A 26,418-nucleotide genomic window follows, 5' to 3' on the forward strand; every position below is an offset into this window, starting at 1 on the left:
CCAGCTAGTTACGGGTAAACGATGCTAGAAGCAGAACACAGATCTCCTGACTCCTGGATCCATACACTTTTACCAAACAAGCCCCAATTTGATACCTCCTCTTGAGAATTTGCTACTGTGTCCCAGAGAACAAAAAACAAAAAGGACATCCCTTGGAAAGAACAAGCTTCGACAGCAGAAAAATCAAGAGATGGCAAAAAGAAATACTTCAGAGGACTAAGAAGAAGGAATGAGGACAGACATATTGGCTATAAATAATTTGCACCTTGTAACAATCTTCAGTTCATACAATTACCTGTCACTCACTGATGTTTTATCTCCCTTCTTCTGTTAACAGGACCTACAGTAACTCTATGCAAAATATTTAACTGTCTGTACCTTCACAGCCTTCACTGGAACATTTGGGTCTTTGCCACAAGTGTACAGATACTAGCATGTCCTGTATTCATGGACCTTCTTGAGGTTGACATTTAATCTAAATAATAAAATCTTGCCTTTAGGAAGTGGTCAGTGAGACAGAAAGACATAGGTTTTTCAGATCATCAAGCAGGTAATCAGAGAGTAGATGTAGATTATGACACCATTTTTGTAAAAAAAAATATATGTATACATGTATGTACATACACATCTATGCATATTTACATATATAGGAAAAATTGGAAAAGGCTCCTATTAGCATGTTTACAGCAGTTATTTTGGGGTGGTAGGACGCTGGGTGATTGAAATTTCTTTTCCTTTTTTACCTGTTTGCAATTTCCTATTGTTCTACAACAAAAATGGATTGCTGAGGGGCAGGACAGGGAGAGAATAAAAACCAAAAGTAGTGGTCTGTGAAAGTGAAATGTAAGTGTACTTAGCAAAGCCTTTGCAGACGGAAGCATCTCCTAGGTTTAAGGCATGCCCTTCTCAGGGAGCAGTAATTCTTGCCGCTATGAGGGGTACTGGAAAGATTTATGGGGAGAGGTTAGAGGAATAGGAATCAGCCAAGCTTGGAAGGGAAGGCTGATCACAAGAATCCTTAAGCACAGGAAAAGCTCCCACCCCAGGTGATCACCAGCTGCAACCAACTCACTTCCGACCACAGAGCATAAGGACAGGGGTCCAAGGGAAAAGGAGAGACTCAGTGCAGGAATAAGGAAGACCTTCCCCACAGGGTAGCTAAGCCTCAGGCCAGGTGATTAAGAGACAGGACTTTGCTCTAGGGCCTTTTGGATAGAGGATAGATTTTTCATTGCTTGTCCAAGGTAGTTTATAAGCAGCCTTCCTGAAGGCTCAGGTTTGCTACCCTTTGCAAGACATAGAATCATCATTCTCTGATGGGGCAATGTGGTCTGCTGAAAAGAGTCCCAGTCTTGAGTCAGGAGCAAGCCAACATCGCCTTAGTGTAGCTTTAAAAAGGACTGAGATTTATTGAGGACCAAGTATGTTTCAGGCACTATACTGGATATTTTACATATAACATCTTTAATCCAAAAGAACCTATACAGTAGGCATTATCATCATCCCATTTTACACCCATGGAACCTGAGGCACAGTGAGCTCAAGATAAGGTGAATGGCAGAGCTGGGATTCATTCACCCAGGTTGGTGGAACTCCAGAGCATATGTTCTTTCTCCTAGCACCAGCAGGTGCAAAGGTACGGAGGGATGAAGCTGCCCAGAGTGCTAGTAGAACGGCAGCTGCTCAACCTGTCTTGTCTATGATACATGGTGGCTGGGGCGAGATCAAAAGCCAGTTAGTAAAAGAGTGAAGGAAGACTGAAGCCAGAGTGTTCCTGAAAGTCACCAAGGTGCACAAGACCTGGGAATGAGGAGGTCAGGTTGGACTGGGAGAAGCTAGGGAAGTCAGCTGGAAAGCCCATGCAGAGTTCAAGTGAGAGATAAGACAGTTACATCCATGATGTGGAAGGAGGGGAGCATTCAAAAGACAGCAGGTAATTTCAGCAGGACTTGGTGATGGGTCAGGCTGAAGGGGTTGAAGACAATGGAAGGGACGGAGATGACTTCACAGCTTATAGTGCAGACCACTAGGAAGACAATAATGCTATTAAATAAAACTGGAGATCCAGGAAGAGAGAGGGTAAGGAGCAAAGGAGAGATGATGAGATCCATTCTGGACATGCTAAGTTTGAGTTAACTGAGACACCGCCAGATGGAGTCATCCAGGACTCAGCTGGAAATGCTGGTTTAGCGCTCAAGAGAGGCTGCAGTAGGAAGGAAGGCTCTGAGTCATCAATGTAAGTGGTGGCTGAGGTCTCCAGAATGAATGAGGCTGGTCCAGAGAGTATGCAGACAGAAAGGGACCAACACTGGCTCCCCCTACACCAGTGCCATGACCTGGCAAAGGTCCCCAAGCCTACCCTCAAGCACTGTGACTCTGTCCAATCCCCTCCCCTCTCTGAGCTTCAAGTCTATAAAAACAGAGTACTGGACTAGATCTCTAGGGACCCTTCTTCTCTAACATTCAACCACTCGTGATTGACAGAATGCCGGCTCAGGATCAAGAAAAGATGCTTGGTGCTGAGTTGACACCTGGCATAACAAGCAAGTCTCCGACTTTCCAGTGGGAAAAACAGACACATAAATAAGTCCTCTTGATATGCTGTGATTAATAGCTACCATAAAGGCAAGAGCACGATGGAGCATGAGGGAGCCCTGAGTAGAATTGCCTGTTTGGGGGGATTCCAGCAAAGGCCTTCAGAGGTGAAATTTGATCTTGGTCTTAAAGAACTGATAGAAGATTTCTAAGTAAAGGCAAGGCCATGTGCAAAGGCACAGGAAAGTGAATGCACATGAAATACTTGGGGAATTGTTTGGCTCAGTGAGCTTGAGTGGAGATGGGGTGTGGGGCTTCAAAATGGAGAGCAGGGCCTTCACTGGCCCACTAAGGAGTTTACCATATGCCAGAGTAAATAACAGGAAACGAATGGGGGTTCTCAAATATAGGAACACCAGGATTAGAGAGCTGAGTGCAAGAAAAGGACCACCACGATCCCTAATAGCTGGTATTTACAAGGCTTTCTCTCGTCATGACCTGACAAGAAAGCAGGTGATGTTACAAGGCTCTTCTCCAACATGTAGACTTTGTGATAACTTTTTAAAAAATAATGACTTAAATATGACGGTGCATTTGAACAGAAATGCTAAACATGGCTAATTATTCACAGAATCACTCAGAAAAAAAGAGGCAAGACTCAAAAGAGAGTTTAGGTGCATCTCATCCTGGAGCAAACCACTTCCAATTACTTGGGAACGAATCTGGAGATCCTAAGGCTTCCCGGAAAGGTCAAAGCCACTCCTAGCACTTGGTAGGAAAATGATGAGCGCCAGAAGCTGGGACTTTTCCTTCCAGCAAGTCAGGATGTTCAAAACCTAACATTACTCTTTCCCTACCATCTATCCACTTGATTCTTGCATGCAATATCATCAACTGTGATTGTATTTTAAGGAAGGCCTGGCATCTCCTGACTTCTCTACAAAAATCCAGTCTCCCAATCAATAGTTTTAAACCTTGCTGCCAAAGAGGTGCTTCTGTCCTCCCTCTGTTCCCCATCCTCAGGCTTTTCTTAGCACTCACTGTATTTTCAAAATTTCTCACTGCTTTGCTCTCCCACTCCAAGAGTCCAAAAAAAATTGCCAACAGGTTCATCATCCTTTCAAATCCCTGTTTACTTCTGTGTCTCGAACTTTTCTGAGGAAGAAAAGCAGGGGCAGAATAGAGGTGCAAGAGCAGAGATCTCGGCCGGGAGAGATGCAGATGCTAAACAGTGCATTGCGCACGGTGGCTTCTGCCTCTGAGCCTCTGAGCGCCCACACAGCTCTGCCCTCTGGGATCCTAGGACACTTCTGTGTTCCTGCCTCTCCTCCGACATCCTCTTGCACCGGCGCACTTTCTCCTGTGTGTCCTCCCGCTCGCTTCATGTTCCAGGCCCCTAAAACCCACACTAGCCTCACCCCACAGGAAACACACCTCCTCAAGCCCTTAATTGTGCCCCAGGGGCCAAAGGCTTCCGCTCTCAGGTTTCTGGAAAGCAGCCCTCCACCCTCCCTCTGCAGTTCTCTCCTGACTTGGCTACTTGGTTTCCCTTCTGCATTTCAAGCTTGAAAACAGGACGGTTTTTAGATTCCACCTTATTTTTGTTCTCCTTCTTGTTCCCAACGGGCCACTGATAATACCTCAGCAAGGCCTTTTATGTGGTTAGCAAGCAAACAATGGCTAAAGTGAATGTGGGTTTGAGGAATCCAAGGAAAATGGAAACACAAGAACGTCAAACATGTCTTGTTCCTTGCGAGGATTCAGCTCACCCTTAGTGTATGTGGATAAACATGCTCTTCATGTTGGGCAGAGAAATCCAAACATGGAAAGTGATTGCTACCATATCTGTGAAAAGCAGAGACACTGTTGTCCTGGCTTCCTCAGATAAATTTTCAAGACAGAAGAGATGTTCTAGAAAGCTCAGATTCAAACCATGAAAAGCAACATTTATCATCCTGTTCCTCCATCCTTTTCCATCCTGCAAAGGCCAAACTGGATAATATGCATTATTCAATGACTTAAAGCCTCTCAAGTCTCCATTTGGCTTTACTATCCCACTTAAGGAACACAGTCACTGTCAGAGGTCAAATCACATTAGTGCTGGAACCTAAAGCCAATGCCCTTGAGATAGAAAATGGGGCTCTAGACAAGGCCTTTCTGGCTCTGGCTAATTCATTATGATTTCTGGGTTCTAGACAGGACAGGGCTCACAAACTCCAGATCATACTTGCTGTGAAAAGAAAGCTGGCCTGCGAATGGGATCCAAGGAATGCATAAGTGAAACTTGGCCCATGCAGAAGAATGTCCAATACTCATAAATTCAGACAAACCAGTGGTATCTGAGAATGACCATGCCTCCTTAACAGTTGAAATGATTGCAAGGGTAGAGAAGGTGATGTAAGAGAACCATGGAAGAATTCTAGAGATGAGCCCAACCTTTTCTCAGATCCATGGACTGTAACGATTAGAGATTATTTACTCCAATTGCCTCATTATACAAATGAAAGAGCAACTCTGAGAGGGAAAATGAGTGTAAAAAAACTCCATTGCTAGCCGGTGTAGTGGCACACCTGTAGTCCCAGCTACTCGGGAGACTAAGATAGGAGGATCGCTTGAGCCCAGGAGTTTGGGGCAACAGTGACCTGTGATCAGGCCACTGCACTCTAGCCTAGGCGACAGATCAAGACCCTGTCTCTAAAAAGAAAAGTTTTTAAAAAAATAATAAAAACTCCATTGCGGGCAGGCACGGTGGCTCACACCTGTAATCCCAGCAGTTTGGGAGGCCGAGGCAGGCGGATCTCTTGAGATCAGGTGTTCAAGACCAGCCTGGCCAACATGGTGACATGTATTTCTCTACTAAACATACAAAAATTATCCAGGCGTGGTGGCAGGTGCATGTAATCCCAGCTACTCGGGAGGCTGAGGCAGGAGAATCACTTGAACACGGGAGGCAAAGGTAGCATTGCGCCGAGATCATGCCACTGCACTCCAGCCTGGGCCCTGGGTGGCAGAACAAGACTTCGTCTCAAACAAACAAACAAAAAAAAAAACCATTGCTCATAGAAATTCTGAAATTAAAACCCAGTGGCCCTTCTTCCTTGCCTGCTTTCTCACTATCAATGACCATGGAGAGGTTCATACCCTTCCAGGCATCAGTACAAAGGAGGAGTCCACAGGGCAGACAGTAGGTAACAGGCATTGTCCCTCAAAAGCAGGATGAAGGTCAGGTTTGCCTCTGGCACCTAGCACTCCACTGGCAACACCCCATCCCAGTTTCTACAGATCCGCTCCCAGGAGAGCTTAGGTGGTCACATACGTTTGTCTGTACCTCTCCTCTCCACTGCTTAAACCATTGTCCTGGCTGGATCAAAGGGACAGAAAGCACTAGAAGTGACATGGAGTGGAAATTATTGGCATTACTCAGAGAAACATTTGAATTCCTCTTACACTAAACTCGTATCCTTATATCTTATGCCAAAACAGACTGACAGACTAACACACACACACACACACACACACACACACACACACTTTTCCTCTGAAGGAAAAGACAGAATAATGTAGAGAAATGCTTCTCAAGCTTCATGTACATATGAAGAACCCAGCCTAGGGATCTTGTTAAAATGTGTATTCTGATTCAGTAGTTCAAATGAGATCCTGTATTTCTAATGAATTCCCTGGCAATGTCAATGATGCCGGTATAAGAACCACACTCTGAGTAGCAAAGGGTAGATGTTACAAAAGCTTAGAATCAAACAAATTTGAGTTTCAGTTCTGGTTCTACCATTTAAGACTTTTGTGATTTGGGGCTGTTTCCCTAACTTCACTATGCCTCAATTTATTCATCTATAAAATGGAAATAATAATACCTAAGAAGCACTTGATGATTACCTAAGTTAATGATGTAACACTTTTAACACATTGCTTGGCAAATAATAAGACTTAATCAATGTCAGTTCCTGGCTATCTCTAAGATTCATGAAGGCAAGGTGATGACTGGCTCACTGCCCAAACCGCAATAGCTAGAACACAGTAGGTGCTCAATGGATGTTTGGTGAATGGATGAATGCATGTATAACACACCCAAATAAAATATCAGTATTTATACACTCCCTTGATTCTGTGGCTTTTCTGCAAAAAAACACAAAACATTTAGAACACCAAGACACTCTCATCAGTTACAAACCATAATCTCATAGAATCAAATTCAACATTACCCATCACGTTTAACCACTGAGAGACATATAATTTGTGGTGGCTATATATACTTGAGAAAATGTCTAAACTGTAAATAAATAAAGACAACATTAGTCTGGAATCTGTATGTCATAAAGATAAATTACTGCCTTGCTTATTTATGGGCTGTCTGAATGCAGATGTTACAAAAAACTTAATTCCAAAATTAAGTTCATTTCCAAACCACACATAGAACTGCAAAGAGAGAAAAAACAAACCATGGGAAGCGAGACTACATTTAAAAGGGCCATTGGGGCAGGAGTACATTCTCTCATAAATGCACACACTTGCTCAGGAAAAAATAGAAGCAAAAGAATTGTTAACAAATGGCAGAGCTTAATCTTTTAAATCAAAGGCAGACAAGTGAATTCATCCCAAATTTTTCAACAATCTAAGATTATCTTTGGGCGTCTTGTAAAGTAAGTGGCATAATCTGAACAGATCCCATTTCCAGGGAGGCACTATGTAAGGTATGCAGCAAGAAGAGAATACGATTGCCACCTACAGACAGAAGTGGCACTCCCTTTGCAAGAGATGGCCAATCATATTTTAATGTGGAAAAAAAAAAATACTCAACCAAGTCACCTCCCTCGAACCTCTTCCAAACCACCACACCACATTACTTCATTTAGAATTACTTTCAAGTCATACAATCATCTCTAGGCATTATGCCTCTTCATTATCATCATCCTATTTCTAATTTCCCAGAAACACTGTGCCATTCAACTATCTACTTATATGCTCTTTGAGAGCCAAAGAGAATGCAAGCCAACGAATTCAAGCACACAAAGGCATCAGCATGGAAGTATAAATCTGCTTACCTGATATGAATGGGACCACCCGGAATATATCTGACAATCTGCTGTTAACTGGTTCATATGGGGAATCCTCCAGCAGATCATTTCCTAAAAACAACAGAAAGATTGGGCTCAGATCAGAAAAACATATATTTCAAGCAGGTTTTTGCTGCTGAATCTGAATTCTAATTATGTTATGATTGTGTAACAAAAAGACGCTGAAACTTTGAAAGATTTCAAATGCATCTCTTTCACTATGGTTATTTCTTTTCATTCCCTCCGCCTTTGTTGTCCTTGTTCTCCCCAGAGTGCCATGAAAATATTGGAGAACAACCCAGCCCTATCTTGCCAGAAAACTCTCCCACTCTTTGCAAAGGAATAGAAATCAGAGAGGGAAGAGCCGGTGACGTCACGAGCCCTGCTTGCCTCCAGGAGCCAATGGAAGAAAGGTGACCCAGGAAAGACCCTTATTTCTGCTTGCTCCCAAAACCTGGCATACGGTTGGAAAGCAGGTACCATGGCTATTAAACAGCCCACCTCTGAAACAGGTTTTCATTAATAGACTCTGGAGGAAGTGACCGCTGACAGGTCAAATCTGTATAATACAAATCTCCAGTGTGAGTCTCAGTCAAGAATGAACACACAAGATGTTTGCGTTAGGCTTACAAACATGAGCCCCCTCTGGCTTATGAGGACCAAAACACTCCCATTGGACTGGATGGTTGTGACCAGTGGATCTTTCTCTCCCTGAGCTACTTCTGTGATAACCAAGGTTGAACCACACCAGCTGGTTCAAGACTCAGCTAATCTAAGATGACAAATGGATTTTCACACATCTGCCTTTGATCACGTTAGGTGGGGAGGGTGAAGATACACTGGATTCTCCTGGACCTTTTACAATACTTCATCTTACATCAGAGCAGGTTAAAGGGAACAAGACAGGGGGAGTCCAGACCAGATGCAGGGCAAGCCTTCCTATTATTATTGAGAGGCCAGCGAAAGCCCCAGGCTGGCTCTCCTTGGAAAGAAGTTGTGGGTTCCTTGGGGCCCTTTAGTGGGATCCTCCTCCCATGCTCCGACCAGGTTTCAGAGAGGTCAGCGGGGTCCCGGGGGTGGCCCTCCCCCCAGCCCCCGTCCTCCTCATGGGTTTTCCAACAACAGGCCCAACAATGCTGGTCAGCCCAGCAAACACCAGCTGCCGTTGTCCCTGGGGGCCAAGGAAAGGTCCTCACTCTGCAGCTGGGGAGAAGTGAGTGGAGGATGAGATCAGCTGGCCCAGGGACGAAAGGCCCGCCTGCCTTCGGGGAGGGACACGGGGTGGGGTGGGGAGGTTCCACGCGTACCCTGCAGGCTCTGGTACATGCTCCAGTAAATGCGCAGGCAGTTCTTCTCCTTCTTCATACCCCGCTTGCAGCGGCAGTTGTAGAGCGACTTCTGCTTCAGGGCCTCCATGGCGCTGCGGCACTCATCCTTGGCCTCCAGGCCGGATGCCAGGCTGAAGTTGGTCTCCTTGCCCGCCACGCACTGCCTTAGCGTGCGGTACTTGGTGCTGCAGCTCTGCTCCTTCAGGCACTGATCACTGGCTTTCACGCAATCCAGGCGGTCTCCGCCGCTCACTTCGGCCGACAGGAGCAAGTCTGCGGGGCAGAGGGGAGGGAGCCTGAGTGCGGCGGGCGGGGACCCCGGCCGCCCCTGCTCCGGGCGAGGGCGCGCGCCCGGGTCAGGGATGCTTGACCAGCCTTCGGGGGCGCCCTGCTCTGGGAGCGGGTCCACCTCTCGACCATCCGGGAGTCCATTTTCCCGCCCCCTGGAATTCCAGCTCCTCTCTCCTCCTCCCGGGCCCGCAAGGAAGAGTGGCGCAGGCTCAGCCCGCGGGCTTCAAGGGTTTGCTCCAGAGCCTGCGCTGCCCACCGCGCACGTCGGCCCTCCGCCCCGGGGCATCCTGGCCTGAGCAACGACCCGGGCTCCCGGGCCACCCCCGGCTCCAGCCACCCGCTCCGCCCGGCTGAAACTCAGGCGCTTTCCGAGGAGAAGTGCGGCGGCGGACTGGGCACCGGGCGCGCGCTGGGCGCGGGGCAGGCCAGCCATGGTCAGCGGTCCGCCGGGCGGAGAGTGCCCAGAAGCTACTCGGGAAAAACTTTTCTCTTCCAAGTTTGCTCTCCCGGCCCCAATGCTCCCCAACTCCACCTGCCCGCCGCGGCTCCGCGAGCTCCCAGAGACTCTCTGGGGGTGCAGGGCCCTGGGCTGGAGGGCTTCTTAGTCCCCCGCCAAGTTGGGTCATTAAAAACCACAGGAAATCAAAACCAAGCCCGAAAAGCTTCAGGCAGCGCCGCGCCGCCACCGCCTCCCTAACCCGGGGATTCGCGATCCCATTCCCCAAAAAGACACTTCTTCCTTCCACATCCACCACACCCGCGCCCCAATTTTGGTGCGGAGGGCGGGGTGGGCTGCTGCAAGCGACCCTAGGAAAGACTCAGAGGGTAAGAAAGCCCGCGGCGGGCCTCGACTTACCCAAGAGCGGCAGCGCGAAGTACAGGGTCGCCAGGAACATGGTGCCGGCGCGGGGCTGGTCCCCGCCCCCCCAAAAAAATCCCGAGCCGCCGCTGGGTCTTGCCGAGGGAGCTCAGCGTGCAGCGATCCCCGGACAGCTGTGCTGCTCTGGCCGCCCAAAGTTCAGCTCCATCCAGTGAAAGAGGAAACTCCGGGTCTGGCAGCAGCCACCGCCGCCGGCGACTCAGCTCCGGGATGGCGAGGGCGGGAGGCGGTTCCGCTTTTAGGGGTTCAGGTCCGACCCAACCTGGAAGGGAGGGCGCGCTTTGAGATGAGAGCGGAGAGCGCCGGAGACTCCCCCCACAGAACCCTCTCCCCTCCCCCGTTCCCGCCTTTGGGGAATTTCCAACACCGGGGTGAGGACCCACCCCCACCCAGGTCGGGGTGCATGTGCGTGTTTTCCAGGGGCCGCTGACACGGGGATGGAGGTGAGGGCTGGAGAGGTCTGAAGAGGGTTCCTAAAGTCCAAGGGGGTGTCTGTTGGGTTCAACCCGAGACGCTGAACGCAAGCAAATAAATAAATAAACGGTACTTTCCGAGCGTCGCGAGCGGAGCCTGCAGCTGCCTGGAGTCCGAGCCCTCGGTGGCGGCGGCGGCAGCTCCCTAGCCAGCCCTGGCGCCGAAAGAGCCCCTTCTCCCGGGAAGTTGGCCTCCCCCTCCTCGCGTCAGCCAGCGAGCTCGCTCAGCCGCCGGCCCTCCCCACTCCGATCGCCAATCCCTAGCCCCAGTCGCCGCCCTCCTTCTCCCCGGGACTCGTCTCCCTCCAGAGGCCGCCAAGCCAGGGGGAACCGATGTCCCGACTGGGGCTGAAACCCGGTTCCTGCGCCCCTACCCCCTACCCGCCGCGCGTCCTCGGCTCCCTCCTGGGCGTCCGCTCCTCTCACACTCTCGCCCGGTGCCCAGGACTCGGGCGCTTCCGCACCCCAGCCCAGGGCGAGCGCGCCGGCCCGCAGTCCCGGCGTGCCCCGGCAGGTGCAGCCCGGCGCCACGAGCGCCCCCCGGGCCCTAAAGTTGGGAGACGCCAGCAAAAAGAAAGGGGTGGCCGGAGGAGGGGGGAAGAAGGAGTGGGGAAGAGGGACGGGAAGCGGCAATGGGTTCCCAAACAGAACGAAAAAAACTCCAAATGCCACCAACCTGGACTCAACCGACCGCGTCCAGCTGCGGCGAGGAGCCAGTTTGTTTATTTACTTATTTATTCTTTCAGGGCAATGGTGTCCCCGCCCCCTCCTTCCCTTTCCGGGCTCACTTTATCTGCGCTAGGAAAAGAAAAAAAAGAAAAAAAAATAGATGCGGTAATCTTCGAGAGCTCGAAGGGCCGAGTTGGGCCAGGACGATTTCCGAGCAGAGCCCTCGGCTCGGATGCTCGTTAGGGATGTTAGTGGTTATTGGAAGCGGCGCGGAGAATGGCGTGTTCCGAGGCCAGATTTCTTCTGGCCAGAGGACCCTCGGCCTGCTCCTGTTCCCGCCGCTCCGCAGCTCCAGCTCCCTCCTAAGCTCGCCCGCCAGGCAGCCGCAGCTGCACACGCCCGCTTGCGGTGGGACCCGCGGCCGGACCCGTACTCGCGCACAGGACACGCAGTGTTCTGCAGCCGGCCGCGGGTGCTGCCAGACACACACACTCTCTCTCTCTCTCTCTCTCTCTGTCTCTCTCTCTCTCTCTCTCTCTCACACACACACACAGACACACACACACACATACACGGGCACAAGGGCTCTTTCTTCTTAGGGCAATCGAGCCAGACCCTTCTTCGGAACACAAAGTTTTCCCCCACGTCACTAGTGGCTGTGATTCAAGACTTGGTGCTTTCAAGACACACTCAGACCCAGGACGCTGGAGCGGCGATCCTGGGATGCGCCCATCCGTTCGTCCACGCCAGCGCGTGCACACTCACACTCACACGCACACATGCACACGCAGTCTCTACCTCTCTCCTGGAGCTCCGACAAGGAGACAAAAGCGGAGCCCCCAGCCCACTGCATTTAAACCCGGCCAGACCTGGCTTTAGAAAATTTATAAGCTGACCTCCATTTTGGCTGTTTCGAGAGTAAATTAACAACAACAAAAAAAGCCTAACATGTACACAGCCCTTCGCCCCAACCCCTGGGACCGCTGGTTCCCAGTCGTGCTGCTCACCCCCCGCCCCCCACGCCTGACACACGCTCCCCTTCCCGCACGCCGGGGGGCGCCCGGGGCACCGAAGTCTACACTGGGTCGGGAGACCGGTCTAGGAGCCAGCCGGCAGTGCTCGGGATCTTTGCTGATGTCCAAGTTCATCTCTCGGGGAGACCGAGTTTGAATCAAATCTGCGTGCGCCCAGCTGTCAAATCTGCAAACCTATCACGCCAGACAATGGGCCGCCGCGGAGGACAGACAAGAATGGCTCATTTTGATCGAGGGGGGTAAATTGAAAAGGGCACGGGCTTTGGTTGAAGTTTGAGGCCCGGGTGTCAGGGCGGGGAGAAGAAGAGGAGGAAGGAGGAGGGTTGGGCCGCTCTCCATTCAACCACACATCAGCCAGGCGCGCCCCTCGGCTGCAGCGGCTGCTTGCAGGCGGGCTGCATATTGTGTGGAGTCGCCAAAGAGGGTCTGCGCCTCGGGGCGCGCCCCAAACCCGGGGGACATCCTACGGATCCGCACTTCTCTTGTGCTGTACGCGTGTTCCTCCAGGGTAAGTATGAGGAGACGGACGCCCTCATCAGACACCCCTCCTCCAACACACACACACCCATAGCCACATCATTCAGGGATACTCTAGTTCAGTGTATCAGTTTACACTTGGTTGTTGAGTAAACAAAGCAAACATATGTCACATTTTCGCGACAGATGGTTCAAACCAAGGGCTACTTAAGTTCTCTCTCTCTAACAGTCTAAGTTACAGGCTGAACTAAGCAGAAATGTAATTAAGTCATCTGATCAGTTTCTTCGACTTAAAATGTTTTCCCATATTTTCACAAACAAGCCAGATAAATCCTGGGGATGTGGTTTCAAGGAAAGGAGGGCTGAATATGAACTAAGACTTTGTGTGAAGACTCCGTTTCTCCCCGGTCACCCCAAACAGAAAATCCTCTTTCATTGTTCCATTTCGTAAGTGGAGGAGAATGTCTTCTTTTGGAAAATCAGTAATTGGAATTTCAATTTTCAATAGAGGGACTAGTGCTTACCGGTGCTGATTACTTGGGATAGTTGGATTACAATGAGGTTTAAGACATCATCCACATCTTTTGTAAATGTTCTTTGTTTAGAAATGACTTCATGTTACCCTATATATTCCACGGAATTCTTTTGAATCAAATTTTAACAGGGTGGGGGAAGGGTGAACTAAAAGCTCTCCCAGTGTAGAATATGGGACTTCTTTTTAAAATACAGATGATCTCCAACTTATGATGCTTCTACTTATATTTTTAGACTTTACCATGGTGCAAAAGCCATATACATTCAGTAGAAACTGTATTTTGACTATGGACCATACAATCATTCTATTTTTCACTGTCAGGTTAGTATTGAATAAGTTTCATGAGATAGTCAACACTTTACTATAAAATAGCTTTGTGTTAGATAATTTTCCCCAACTGCCGGCTAATGTAAGTGTTTTGAGCATGTTTAAGGTAGGCTAGGCTAGGCTGTGATGCTTGGTAGTTTAAGTGTATTAAATGCATTTTCAACCTATGATGTTCTCAACTTTTGATGAGTTTATCAGAGCATAAGCCTCATTGGAAGTCAAGGATCATCTGTATTTTTAGCTTCAATAATGTATTTCTGAACCATTCACTCACACTTGTCCTTATTAAGTTTGTGCTGCTGATGAATACAGAGCTTTGTTTTTAAAAAGGTAACAATAAACCCCCAGAGGCTGTAACTGTGTTGTCCAATACAATAGTCACTAGCCATGTGGCTATGTCAATGAAATTAATTAAAATTAAATAAAAGAAAAATGCAGTTCCTCAGTAGCATTAACCATATTTCAAGTGCTCAATAGCTACATGTGGCTGGTGGCTACCATATTGGACAACACAGATATAGATCATTTCCATCATTGCAGCAAGCTCTACTGGACAGCACTACCCTATAATGTTGGTGTGGAATTAGTTAATGTGGTATATACACATATATAAAGTTTTTAGAATAGTAGAATAGTGCATAGAGTGCTTACTTCATAAGCAGCAGCAGTACTGGGGGTTGTAGTTGGAAGGATAATGATGATGATGATGATGATGATGATGATGATGCCTTGTTAGTCTCTTGTAGAAGTCAAAGAATCGATGAAGACACAGCCCACTTCTGGTATGTCAGGATGAGATCAGCAGGCAAAGAAGCCAGGGAGTAGGAGAATCTATATGTCAAAAGCTGATCTTCCAAGGAAAGCTGTGAACAGAAAGATGTGGCCCATACTGTAGCCTAAGACTTCCCGTAGTAGGAGCTAATAAAAATAATAATTAAAAAAATCACTGCTTTACAACTACATCCATTAACTTTTTTTTTTCTTTTTTTCTTCTTTTTTTTGAGACAGAGTCTCGAGCTGTCGCCTGGGCTGGAGTGCAGTGGCATGATCTCAGCTCACTGCAACCTCTGCCTCCTGGGTTCAAGCAATTCTCCTGTCTCAACCTCCTAAGTAGCTGGGATTACAGGCACCCACCACCACAACCAACTAATTTTTTTGTATTTTTAGTAGAGATGGGATTTCAGTATGTTGGCCAGGCTGGTCTCAAACTCCTAACCTTGTGATCCACCCACCTCAGCCTCCCAAAGTGCTGGGATTACAGGCGTGAACCACCACGCCCGGCCTACATCCACTAACTTCTAAAGGTGAGAGAAACACACTGCCCTTGGAATATCGAAGACAGAAAAGCATTGTGACTTAATGTATTAATATCATCTCTGTTTCCTTGGAGCTTATCTGTTCCTATGTGTATGGGACTGATCTCAGGATGAAAGGTGACATCAAAGTATCAAATATTATTGATAATTATAAAGGTTCATGTAATCCTCTGTGACATGTTGCTCAGCAGAAAATTGGTTTTAATGCCACAAAATTAGGTTCAATCTACCCATAAGCACGTGAAGTGAGCAATTTTCTGGCATTTCTTGATGTAAGTGTATTTTCATAAGTTAACAGATGAGTCAGGATGAGAATGACAGTTTTATTCCATGCAGCATTTTGTCTGTTTCTCTCATTGCCTTCCTTGGCCCTCCATTTTGTAAAATTCTACTGCTTAAAAAGCATTCAGATTTTTTTAACTCATTCTAGTCCATGAAAGTTCAACATTTGACATCAGACAGCTTGACAGATTTACCGCGGTAGTTACAAAAAAAAAAAACTATTCACCAGTCTCTAAGTGTGCCATGACATTTTTGACTGCTATACCTTTGCCCATTCATTTCCATCTGCCTAATGCGTGCTTCATCCTGATATTTCAAGGTTCGGCTCAGCTCAAACAGGACACTACGATAATATGGACCTCTTTGGTCAGAATTCATAGTTCCCTGTAGTATACTCCACGGCCTCACTGAAGCCTCCGCCATGTCTATTGTAACATTGCATTGTAGTTAGTTGCTATATCTGTCTCCTCATCTGGAATGTGTGCTCCTTGAAGGCAGGAAGCTGTCCTAGTCTTTTTTTTCATCCCCAGCATTTAGACTGATAACCAACACACAGTCACCCCCAATAAATGTATATTGATTGCATGAATAATGAGTGATGCTGTTCCTCATTTTCCTCTGACACAATAATTTTACTGAAAGGTTTACATAAAATCCCTTTACTGGATGAACAATGCAAAATATAAGTACCTCATACAATTACTGGTATTGCTGTTCTAATAATAGTATCAAATATGTATTATTCCTTTGGGGATTTGACATTTGAATTTTTTTAAACAAAACCCATTATTGTAATAGAGTGCTCTTTTTCTGGTTCACTTTAATAGTAACATATGACATATTTCATTTCTGGGAAATGATAGCTTGCCTTAGGTCATATTTTAAGGCATAAAGCCAGAAGCAGAGTAACGTTCCCACCTGAAGTTCTCTAATCATCTAGAAATGTGCCTCTTTCTGGCTGGGAGGCAGGGATTTAGAAGGGCTAGATTATGACTACCCTGGAGCATTCATTCACAAAGGCAAATTTTTAAAAGGCAAATTGGTCCCAAAGTGTTAAAAATTCTTTTATAAACACACAAGTCCTCTTGCAATCTTTTAGGAGAAATGAGAAAATAGGAATCGTCTACACCCAGAAAGTTGGTGTAAGGGTCTATATGCTGACACAGATCTCACCTTCTAATGCTGTACTTTGACATTTGCCCTTTGGCAATACAAGAAGAACCAGTTGCTCTCAGATTTCAGAGCCCTTTTCCAGGCTGACTATATTAAGAAGTGTCTTTTGAACATTATTTGCAAATGGAAGATTCTTATTGGCAATCTGGGTGCCTGACCCCCAGGAACCTATCTTAGGAAATCTTTCTTCCTCCTTAGTTTTCAAGTAATTTTTATTTCTTATACTAATAAGCCAGTGAAATGATTTTACTGCCTTTGTGGAAGGATATTGCATTTTGTGAGAGTTGAAGTCATTTGTACTTTGGCCTTATGCCACAAAATGCATTCAAGGTGTGTAGCCCTGATGAAATAAAGTGCCTGTCATGTCTTATTGCCTGAATATATGGCAAAAGATACCCCATCTTCGGGGGACTTGCAAGGGTTTTCTCGTGATTGCCAAAGGTGTTGGATTAAAAGCCCTGTACATTTCAGTCTTCTTCATCCAGGAAGGATGGGGAACGCCTGCACGGAGAAAACATCTTTTCTCTCCACCACTCTCCTAATAAGCCCTAAACCCTGTTCCAATGGGATTGTTCCTTCATAAGGGCAAGAGGGAAGCTTAATCCCCAGCTTTGTCCAGTAATTAGCCTCTCTCTCTCTGGAGGCAGCAAACACAGATGCCAATCCGGATGAGCTTTGGGACGTGGAATGAAAACAAGACTGAAAACACTGACTCACTTCTTCAGAAGCCTTTTAGCAGCCTCCAAGACAGCAACAACCTCTGATTTCCATTGATGCACGTTTGGTCTAAGTGGTGGGATGGGGCCTCTCCCACCGCTGATAAAGCAAGAGAAGAAGCAGAGATCACCAAAGACGTGGGGATAAGTGACCCCTAGGCCCCTCTGCAACAATGAAGGCTCTGTAACACAGCACTGTTCTTGTCATGCCACTTACCCCGGCATCTTTCAAGAAATGCCATGGAAATGCACTGTTTACCGAAACCAAAACCTCTGGAAGCACTATAGTATGAGCCCGCTAACACAATTAACTTGCAGTTAATGACGATGCCCCCGCCAGAACTAATTAAGCCAGTGGTGCTTGTAGCACAAAAGATTGGGGCCTGTTTTAAAGCATCAATTGTGACATCATTTAGAAGTCATTTCAAACTCCTCCAAACTCCAAAACTATTCCTCTGAAAACAAATGCAGTATAATGTTCTTAGAGTTGTTGGTTTTATTTTCTGCTGTCAAAAATCTGACAAAAGTCAGTTGAAACTGTCAAGGAAAAACATCACACCATATGAGATTTTCCTCAAATTTGAAGTCTATAGAAGGAATGACAAATCTGTTTTATAGATTTTTCTAGCACAAAAGCAAATTAGGAAAGTCTAGGAGACACACTATCACAATACATACATGAGGTTGCGCTTGACGCAGTTCGTAAATTTGAGGCCATGACAAAGAATTAAAATTAGATCAATTTGGTTTTGATCTGAATTATCTGTTCAGCTTAAAGTACAGAAGGATCAATGGGATGGATGTTTTTGTGCGTATTTTTTCTACACACAACTCACATTAAGAGACAAGGAGAATTTCTTCTGCTCACATCCCTAGAGGATCTCTTTGTAAAGGCCCCTCTGGCCTTCATTTTTTTTTTTTTTTTTTTTGGTCTGAACTATCAGTAAAGACTCCACCTCTGCTGGGTAATATTTCGTTGATTGTTTGATTTATGGACTGATTGCTTTGGTTGACTGTTTTCTTGTATCTGTCCAGTGTCTAATACTGTGATGTGCACTGCAAGGAATTTAGGTAAATTATCTTCCCTATGCTCAAGTACTTCCTTCTCCATGGTAGAGACCCCTAGTTACTCTCTCGATTTCTTCTTTCATCCTTCTGTAGTAGCGCCTTTCAAATTGCAGGCATCCCCCATTTGTTGGTCACAAACAACATTTATTTTATAAACTATAAAAATATTAAATGTTGGCCAAGCATGATGGCCCATGCCTGTAATCCCAGCATTTTGGGAGGTCAAGGTGGGCAGATCACTTGAGGCCAGGAGTTTGAGACCAGCCTGTCCGACATGATGAAACCCCGTCTCTACTAAAAATACAAAAATTAACAGGGCATGGTGGCAGGCACCTGTAATCCCAGCTACTCAAAAGGCTGAGGCACGAGAATCACTTGAACCCAGGAAGTAGAGGTTGCAATGAGCCAAGATGGTGCCACTGCACTCCAGCCTGCGATAAAGAGAGACCCTGTCTCAAATAAATAAATTAATTAATAATAAAAATATTAAATGCATCACTCAAAGTAGTGGTAAGTATTGTTTTATAAAAGTTTTCTATGTGTTCATGGTGCCTGTATTGAGTCATTAGGTAAAATATATTTATTATTATGAATCATGGTTTTAAAATTTTGAAAGCTACTGCATTTTTTAATGGTACTCTGATTTTTTATTTAAACATTTGCCACTCAATATTAAGGCTACATTTCCCATCCTCCACTGCAGCCAGTTATGGTCATGTGGCCAGATCTGATGAATCAGATGTGGCAGAAAGGATGCGAAGAAGCTCTGAGCAGGTGCCCTCCCTCTACATGTTCCCACCATCCTGCGTCCTTGTGCTGCGCCGGACCAGGCATGCAAGAACAACACACCAAGGATGGCGGAGCAACAAGATAGAAGAGGCCTGAGTCCCAGGATGACTGCCTGGAGCACAGCTGTCTGCCTGCTCAGGGCCTTGTGTCACATACTATAATGTGAGAGACAAATAAACTTGTCATATTTAAGCCAGTATTATATTGGGTCTTCGATACATGCAAACAGTCTTTGTAGAACTCATGCACCCAAATTATAATGAAAGAGAAGTAAAGGAAAATAAATTCAAAAAACAATTGTTTATTGAATATCTATCAGGGACCAGCCCTCTGCTAGGCTGCTATGGGAAATACAGAATAATATTGACTCTGAAGGAAAGTGTAATTTCACTGGGGAGATGAGCTGCATATCTGAAATAATCAAACCATATTGTAAAGAAGTGTAGGAATAATTGTCAACATGAGTGGAAATAAAAATAACAGTCAGAGGAGATAGGAAGAAAGGTAGAAAATGAAATGGAGTCATGCCATTGAGAGAAGGGGAAAAGAGAGAGTAATAGAGTAGGAGGAACATTCCTGAGAGCTAAACAAAATTGAAGGCCTCCAAAATAGAAGGGGTACATCACTTTATCCCAGGTCTCCCCTTTCCAGCCCTAAACAGTACTCAACCGAGGTGATCAGCAGGAGTCCATGCTATGGCAAAGCTGCAATCTATAGGCGTGCTCTTCACCTAGACATGGACTCATGCTCACTTGTCAAAAACCCTGTCACCACCACGACAGACCAAAGTCCCAAGCCTCCTTCGTCAGAATCTTATGCAGAAGAGGATGCTCTCTCTGTGGGAAGTCACTCTGGATTTGGTGAGAATGGCTTCCTCATGGGGTCATACTCGTCTGCCCAGACACACCTCTGCTTGAGGATGCACTGGTCTTTGCCCTTTTCTACAAGACTTTGGTGAGGCTTCTCATATTTCTCTAAATAATTTGAGCTGCTAATGATGTGGATATTCTGGAATTCAGTTTTCTGCATACCAGCTAAAAGCCATTTGACACGTGGGCCACCCTCCTTGGAAGATGCATGACTCGGAGATGCCTTGCTGGCAAGGCTCAGGTATGTTAAAAGGAAAAGTGTTATTTCAGCAGACTTGCCACAGAGGTATGTGTTAATTAAGTTAATTGTGCCATCAGTGATCCAGACGATGACAGTAACTGCTCCCCATAATGGGGCTGGGTTATTGCCATCATTTATTAAATGTGCTGGTTTTCTTAAATGCAGTTTTCCCTTATTCTTTAAGCATGCACACACCCCCACACCCACCCACCCACCCATACACACACACAGACGACGTATAGTTTATCAACCACTTTCATATGAATCCAGTTACATTATTGATCTTTATACCTACTCTGTGATGAAGGACAGGTTACTTTCTTCATTGAGCAGATGAGGAAACTGAAGCCCAGAGTTGTCTACTTACTTGCCCAAGGCCACCCAGCTTCTTAGTCAAGGAGCCAAATTCCAAGTCCAGGGTCCCTTTCTGTGTACCACACTGTATGTCCAGGAGTCTCAATATCCTGAAAAGCAAAAGCCAAGTTTGTATATTCCATATCCCCTAGCTAGCACATTGGATTAATAAATGTTAAATAAATAATAATTTATCTTTGGAAAAATTATTGGTGAATTCTCTTAATTGCTGTCTTCATGAAAGTCTAAGGTAGGAACCTTTTACGTATGGTTTGATCAAAACCAAACATGATCTATATAAATAGAAATCTGGATAATTTAGAGAGTTATCACAGACCCTTTCCCTCCTGCCTCTCCAAAATATTGGTAGATATTTGACTTAACCTGAGTTATTCTTACTGTAATTACAGTGAAGACTAAGACATAATTTAGTATGTCAAATCAATTACAGCCTTTCAGTGGACTTAACTAAGACTTCTGTTGAGTGGTTCCGGTTCCACAGTGAATGTCCGTTGAGGGGCTGACCCAATGATTGTCCTACCAAAATGACTCCCTACCTTGCAGACTGAGGGTCTATCTTTAAAGCGTTGGTATAATTAGTGTCACCTGCCAAAACATAATCATCCTTGGGACGATTAATGCAGAAGCATTTTTGGTTATTAGAACTTTAGCATGAACGAGCTTCTAGCCTCTTTGTTGGAAGGAGAAAGGGCTACAGCACCATCATACATGATGCTCTAGAGTGGATGAGCTCTGAGCTCCCTGAAAGAGACTCATTTCTGGAAACTGGTGGTCAGGCTTGGGTTGGTGTGCAAGAGCCACGTCTCACAGCACCCGAATGCTTCAAGTAGCACTTCTAATAAAGGTACATTGAACACTCACTTCCACTTCATGCCAAAGTATATTCTAGAAGCAGAGATAGAAAGGTTTCTTTGCCAAATAATTGAAATGCCATTGTGTATCATCTTTTACAAGCCTTCTAGAAGAATCACCTTAAACTGTTGAACAGAAGAAATCTGAATTGATTGAGTGCATCCACTGAGCCTAAGCAGGAGAAAGTGTCAGAGAAGCTGTTTTGTGCCTGAACTGGCTATTTCTTGTTAGTGTAAACACTGAGGAGCACAATTAGAATTTTGGCACATGCCAGGCACAGGGTGACTCTGTGACCAGCCACCAGTAGAAAGCCTGGACACTGAATCCCTAATGAGTGTCCTCGGTAGATAACATTTTACATGTTGTCAAAACTCCTTGCTGGGGGAATTAAGCACGCTCTGTGCGACTCGTCTTGGAAGCGTGCGCCTGGTTTCCCCTGGACCTTGCTCCATGAGCCCTTTCCTCTGCGGAGCTTGCTTTGCTCCTTTCCCTGTAATAAATCATAGCCATCAATACAACTATACACCAACTCCTGTGAGTCCTCCCAGAGAATCATCAAATCTCAGGGTGGTCTTGGGACACACAATGCAGAAATATTCTTAATATAGTTCATAAAATAAACAGACAGCGGTGTACGATTGTAAAGGATTATGTTGGACTGACCAGGGTGTAGCTGGCTTTATACCCGTGAGATCTGTGCAGTCACACAGCATCCCACGCTTAGAAGGTCCCTGAGCTTGGTTTCATGCCCTGCTGTCACCATTTTGAAATCCTTAATAAGCTATGAACAAAGGGTCCTGCATTTTCACTTTGCACTGGGTCCTGCAAATTATAAAACTGATGCCCAGTCATGGTGATACTTAGAGATAAAAGAGTGGAACGTCTTACTGCCTCAGATGCTAACACTGTCTTTGCTGGGAATTCTTCACTCACCTTTCCACAGGGCCTAAAATCTACCCATTATAGATTCGCTTTGTGGAGGAGAATGTCCCAGGAAGGTTAAATGGCTGTCACTTATTCACAACTTAGGGTGAACCTGTTTACTCATTCCCTCCCTGCATATTCTAGTCCTTAACCCTTAGCTGAGTTCAGAATCCTGGGTCAGTACTTCCCAAAGTCTGTTCTTTAGAATAATAATCCTTGTGAGATGCAAGTGGGGAGGGGATGTTGTTGTCAAGTAGGCTTGGGATGCTCTGTCCCGTCTTGGAGATTTAGGGCACATGAGCTTAGTACACACTCTGAAAAGTCTTGCACTGAAATAAGGTGTTGAACTTTGTATTCGTTTCCCAGGGCTGCCATAGCAAAGTGCCATAAACTAGGTGGTTTAAACAACAGAAATTTACTGTTCCAGTTCTGGAGGCCAGTGTTGGCAGGGTTGGTTTCTCCTGAGGGCTGTAAGGGAGAATCTGTTCCATGCCTCTCTCCTGGCGGATTGCTGGCAATCTTTGGTGTTCTTGGTTTGTAGATGATTGCTCTGATCTGTGCCTTCATGTTTACCTGGGCTTTTCTGTGTGTGTGTGTGTGTGTGTGTGTGTGTGTGTGTGTGTGTGTGTGTGTCGGTGTCCCACTTTTCCTTTTTATAAGAACACCAGTGGCATTGGACCTGGGCCCACCCTAATTACCTCATTTTAACTTGATGACCTCTGTAAAGACTCATTTCTGAATAAGGTCACATTCTGAGCTACTGGGGGTTAAGATTTCAACATATACATTAGGGGTGACACAATTCAACTTTATTATATTTTCCCAACACATTTGACTATGGGGGGTTGGCCTAACTACCATTAATATCTCATGCAACCAATGTTTCACAGCATAGAACCAGACATCCTCCATCAGATGAAGCGAGGAAAGTCCATGTGGCTGGGGGGGCTGCAGTACAGGGTTGGGGAGGTGGGGAAAGGTGGAGAGAGGAGGGGTGGGAGGTAGGCCACTGAGGTTGGTTTGGGCCAGAAACTACTCCAGATTCTGTACTCCGGGCAAAGCAGATTCATCAGAGGTTCACACAGGACTTCTCAGGAATTTCTAAGAGGGAAGTGGCATTATGAAATGAGGCACACAGCTTGGAGATTGGAGAGGTGAGAGACTGGAGGCAGGAAGACTGAGAGGCCATTTCAACATCTGGCGGAGGGAAGAAAAGGAAGCCTGAGCCAAAGTAATGGCCATGGCGAGGAAGGAGGGCTCAGCCTGAAAGGTAGAAAATGCAAAAGATGCGCACGCACATTCATAGCCACATATTAGCTTAGCTTGGTGCACAATTAACTGAGGTTAATTACTTTTGCACCAACCTAAGATATGCATCTATGCATAGATATGTATATATAATAAAGATCTATCTCTATATCCCCATATAATTAAAAGAATCTCAGAGGAGGAGACTGCTTTGCCTTGCTGGTGATTTGGGGATGTACATTAACATAGTACAGACTCTGTGTTTGGGTGAAATGCTCACGGAGGGCTAGTCTGGAGGTGTGTCAGGCTAGGAAGATCCTGTTTTGTCCCTGTTAGTGGCCTTGAGTGTGCTATGAATTCTAAGAGGCAGATGGGCAAACAGGGTCTTGCATGGTCTTCCCCAGCCTCATCCTGCACCCCTCCGTGCTCACTTTCTTAAGCTCCAGCCCTATAGACCTTCTTTGTGTTCCACCCCAGAGCTTTGCACCTGCTGTTCCCTTGGTCTCGCTTTTGACATGGTCCCCGTTTTGCTTGGGTGAGGATTGCTGCATGCAAGATGCTTCCTTTGGAAAGCCTTCTCTATTATCCTGGCATTCTCTCATCAGATGTGCAAACCCTTGTTCAATCTCTTTCTTCTCTGCTGGACTCAATGTGCCATGAAGGCAGGGAGCATGTCTACCATGTTCTTGTTGTATCCCCAGAACCTAGCACAGCCTGGGACAGATAGGCATTTGTATCTGTTGAATGAATGAATGATTTACTATATAAAAAGGACTTGAAAGAATGTAATAAAGGAAATGATAAAAATAGATGAGGGGCTAGATAACATGATACATTTAGAAGTGAGTTTAGAACCCACCCTTACTGAAATGAGTTTTTTTAAATTTTATTAATTTATGTATTTATTTATTTATTTTTGAGACAGAGTCTCTCTCTGTCTCCAGGCTGGAGTGCAGTGGCACGATCTTGGCTCACTGCAACCTCCGCCTCCTAGGTTCAAATGATCCTCCTACCTCAGCCTCCCAAGTTAGCTGGGACTACAGGCACGCACCACCAAGCCCAGCTAATTTTTTATAGTTTTAGTAGATGTGGGGCTTCACCATGTTGGCTAGGATGATCTCAATCTCTTGACCTCGTGATCCTTCCATCTGGGCCTCCCAAAGTGCTGGGATTATAGGCGTGAGCCACTGCGCCCGGCCATGATTTTTTAATTTAAAGACAAAGTCAGATTTTAAGAGATTCATATTAACTTAATCTTATCCAAAGAAACTTCTTTCTTAGAGAAAAATGGCGGGATAACCAAGATTTATTTTAAAAGCTTTGTAGACATCAAATCACTTTCATTAAAAAAAAAAAAACTTTAGATATTTGCGTAGAAATGGTCAGAAACATGTGGATTGCATTTCCCTTGAACTCTCTTGGGTTTGCAAATTGGAAAAAAGGGTTTGGAATAAAATCCCTTTTCTATTTTCCTGAAGTCAGTATACTTGGGAAATGGTGATGTTTGAGATATTCAAGAAACTGAAAATACGGGCGGGTACTTGTTTAAGTAACGTTATTTCCAATCCTACACCAAAGTGGCTGATAAGAAACCGGAAGTGGGCATTTAGCAGCTGAAAAGAACCAATTCAACAACAACACAATTTTTTTTTTTTTTGGTGTAGCTTTGACACAAGAGAAATCTCCCTCCCTCTGCCTCTCCCCTTGACCACAATCAATACTTTTAAGAGATGAAGGCGCGAGGAGGAAAGAGTTTATTCAGTCCTTTGTATGCGACTGAGCTGTGAAAACAGGATGAAGATTTTGCTAAATCTGTCCATTAAGTTCCTCTAAGTGCTTTCAAAACATATCCTAGAGCAGAATGCAGGGCACAAGAAAGAGAAACTGGGAATTAAAGCGAAATTATTACTTTTAAATGTCTTGACAGTGGAAATGTCAGAAAAAATAGCAGGCGTGGCAAGCAGATACAACTTCAGATGCTCCACTTAAACCTTCTGTTGAGCATCCCAAAAAGCTGAAACATTGTTCTGGTTTTTAAGTGGTCAAATTATATAATTTTTATGGAGCAAGAATTTATTTTGCTAGTTATCATATTAGTATCAATGAACAGTTTTACCCTAGATGTGCTAGATAAATATTGGGCTAAACTATATCAACCTAGCTGGGCGTGGTGGCTTATGCCTTTAATTCTAGCACTTTGGGAGGCCAAGGCACATTTGAGGTCAGGAGTTCAAGACCAGCCTGGCTAACATGGTGAAACCCCGTCTCTACTAAAAATACAAAAATAGGCCAGTTGTGGTGGCAGGTGCCTCTAATCCCAGTTACTCGGGAGGCTGAGGCAGGAGAATCCCTTGAGCCTGGGAGGTGGAATATATATACCAACCTAAATGCTTAGTATGATTACAAGGCATGTCAATAATTTCCCCCATGAGTAGAAATTTACTTTCTAATTTAGATTTTTAGAACACTTTGAACATAAAATCAAGAAGCTTAATTTTATATGGAAAAGAACTTTTAATGAAAAGGAGAAAAAAGGTGAAATAAGAGAATAATTTTTGACCAAGAATATCAGTAATTTTGCATATGAATTTTTAAAATGTTTAGATTATGTTAATCTAGTAATATTTAGAGATAACTATGAAAAGAGTCATTCATATTTAGACTTGCAAATTCTAGCAAATTTGTGTCTGAAAGATGGACTGCTAGAGCCCCCTAGCTGCTGGAAAGAATTCTGTCCTCCTAGGTATAGATAAATAACCTAATTGCAAAGGCAGTAAGTAGCACACCAAGAAATCTAGTGGAACACAATTAAACAAGAGCATACAACATGATCCTCCACTACTGTCCCACCTTTCAGGCTGGTGGCAATGTCAGCGCAGCTGTGAGCATCCACAGACATCTGTCCTGGGCCCCCACCCCCATCACCCTGAGCTTCTTGACAGATCAA

The 26,418-nt window shown here is 45.5% G+C and overlaps 1 protein-coding gene and 1 long non-coding RNA gene across 12 annotated transcripts in view, besides 2 other annotated features; one reads left to right on the top strand and one right to left on the bottom strand.

Annotated features, from left to right (window-relative positions):
• Window positions 1-12,795, bottom strand: part of GFRA1 (GDNF family receptor alpha 1) — a 217,781-nt gene extending 204,986 nt beyond the window's left edge. For 4 of the 11 annotated variants that reach the window (NM_001382561.2, NM_001382560.2, NM_001382558.2 and 1 more), the window contains exons 1-4: window positions 10,651-10,744; window positions 10,080-10,365; window positions 8,912-9,205; window positions 7,593-7,676 (exon numbers count right to left, since the gene is read on the bottom strand). In NM_001382561.2, the coding sequence (NP_001369490.1) occupies window positions 7,593-7,676; window positions 8,912-9,205; window positions 10,080-10,119 (418 nt within the window). In that variant the 5' untranslated portion in view covers window positions 10,120-10,365; window positions 10,651-10,744. Of the gene's footprint in view, window positions 1-7,592; window positions 7,677-8,911; window positions 9,206-10,079; window positions 10,366-10,492; window positions 10,566-10,650; window positions 10,745-10,957; window positions 11,100-11,252; window positions 11,706-12,756 lie in introns of those variants that run through there. The other 7 variants (NM_001382556.2, NM_001382557.2, NM_001145453.4 and 4 more) reach the window with 7 other exon arrangements.
• Window positions 11,461-12,298: an enhancer, noted in NCBI's record as "H3K4me1 hESC enhancer chr10:118032883-118033720 (GRCh37/hg19 assembly coordinates)". NCBI's record gives its function as "activates a minimal SCP1, AML or CMV promoter by ChIP-STARR-seq in primed H9 embryonic stem cells {active_cell/tissue: H9 hESC(primed)}" and the evidence as "EXISTENCE:reporter gene assay evidence [ECO:0000049][PMID:30033119]".
• Window positions 11,507-11,801: a silencer, noted in NCBI's record as "tiled region #3813; HepG2 Repressive DNase matched - State 20:ReprD". NCBI's record gives its function as "represses a minimal TATA promoter and a strong SV40 promoter by Sharpr-MPRA in HepG2 cells {active_cell/tissue: HepG2}" and the evidence as "EXISTENCE:reporter gene assay evidence [ECO:0000049][PMID:27701403]".
• LOC107984273 (uncharacterized) lies at window positions 12,099-19,161 on the top strand. Its single transcript, XR_001747598.2, has 2 exons — window positions 12,099-14,922; window positions 18,877-19,161. It is a non-coding gene; the product is annotated as an uncharacterized LOC107984273 (long non-coding RNA).
• Window positions 19,162-26,418: the final 7,257 nt, after the last annotated feature.

This window comes from Homo sapiens, chromosome 10 (assembly GCF_000001405.40).
Source record: "Homo sapiens chromosome 10, GRCh38.p14 Primary Assembly".
In the NCBI taxonomy this organism is placed as follows: Eukaryota; Metazoa; Chordata; class Mammalia; order Primates; family Hominidae; genus Homo; species Homo sapiens.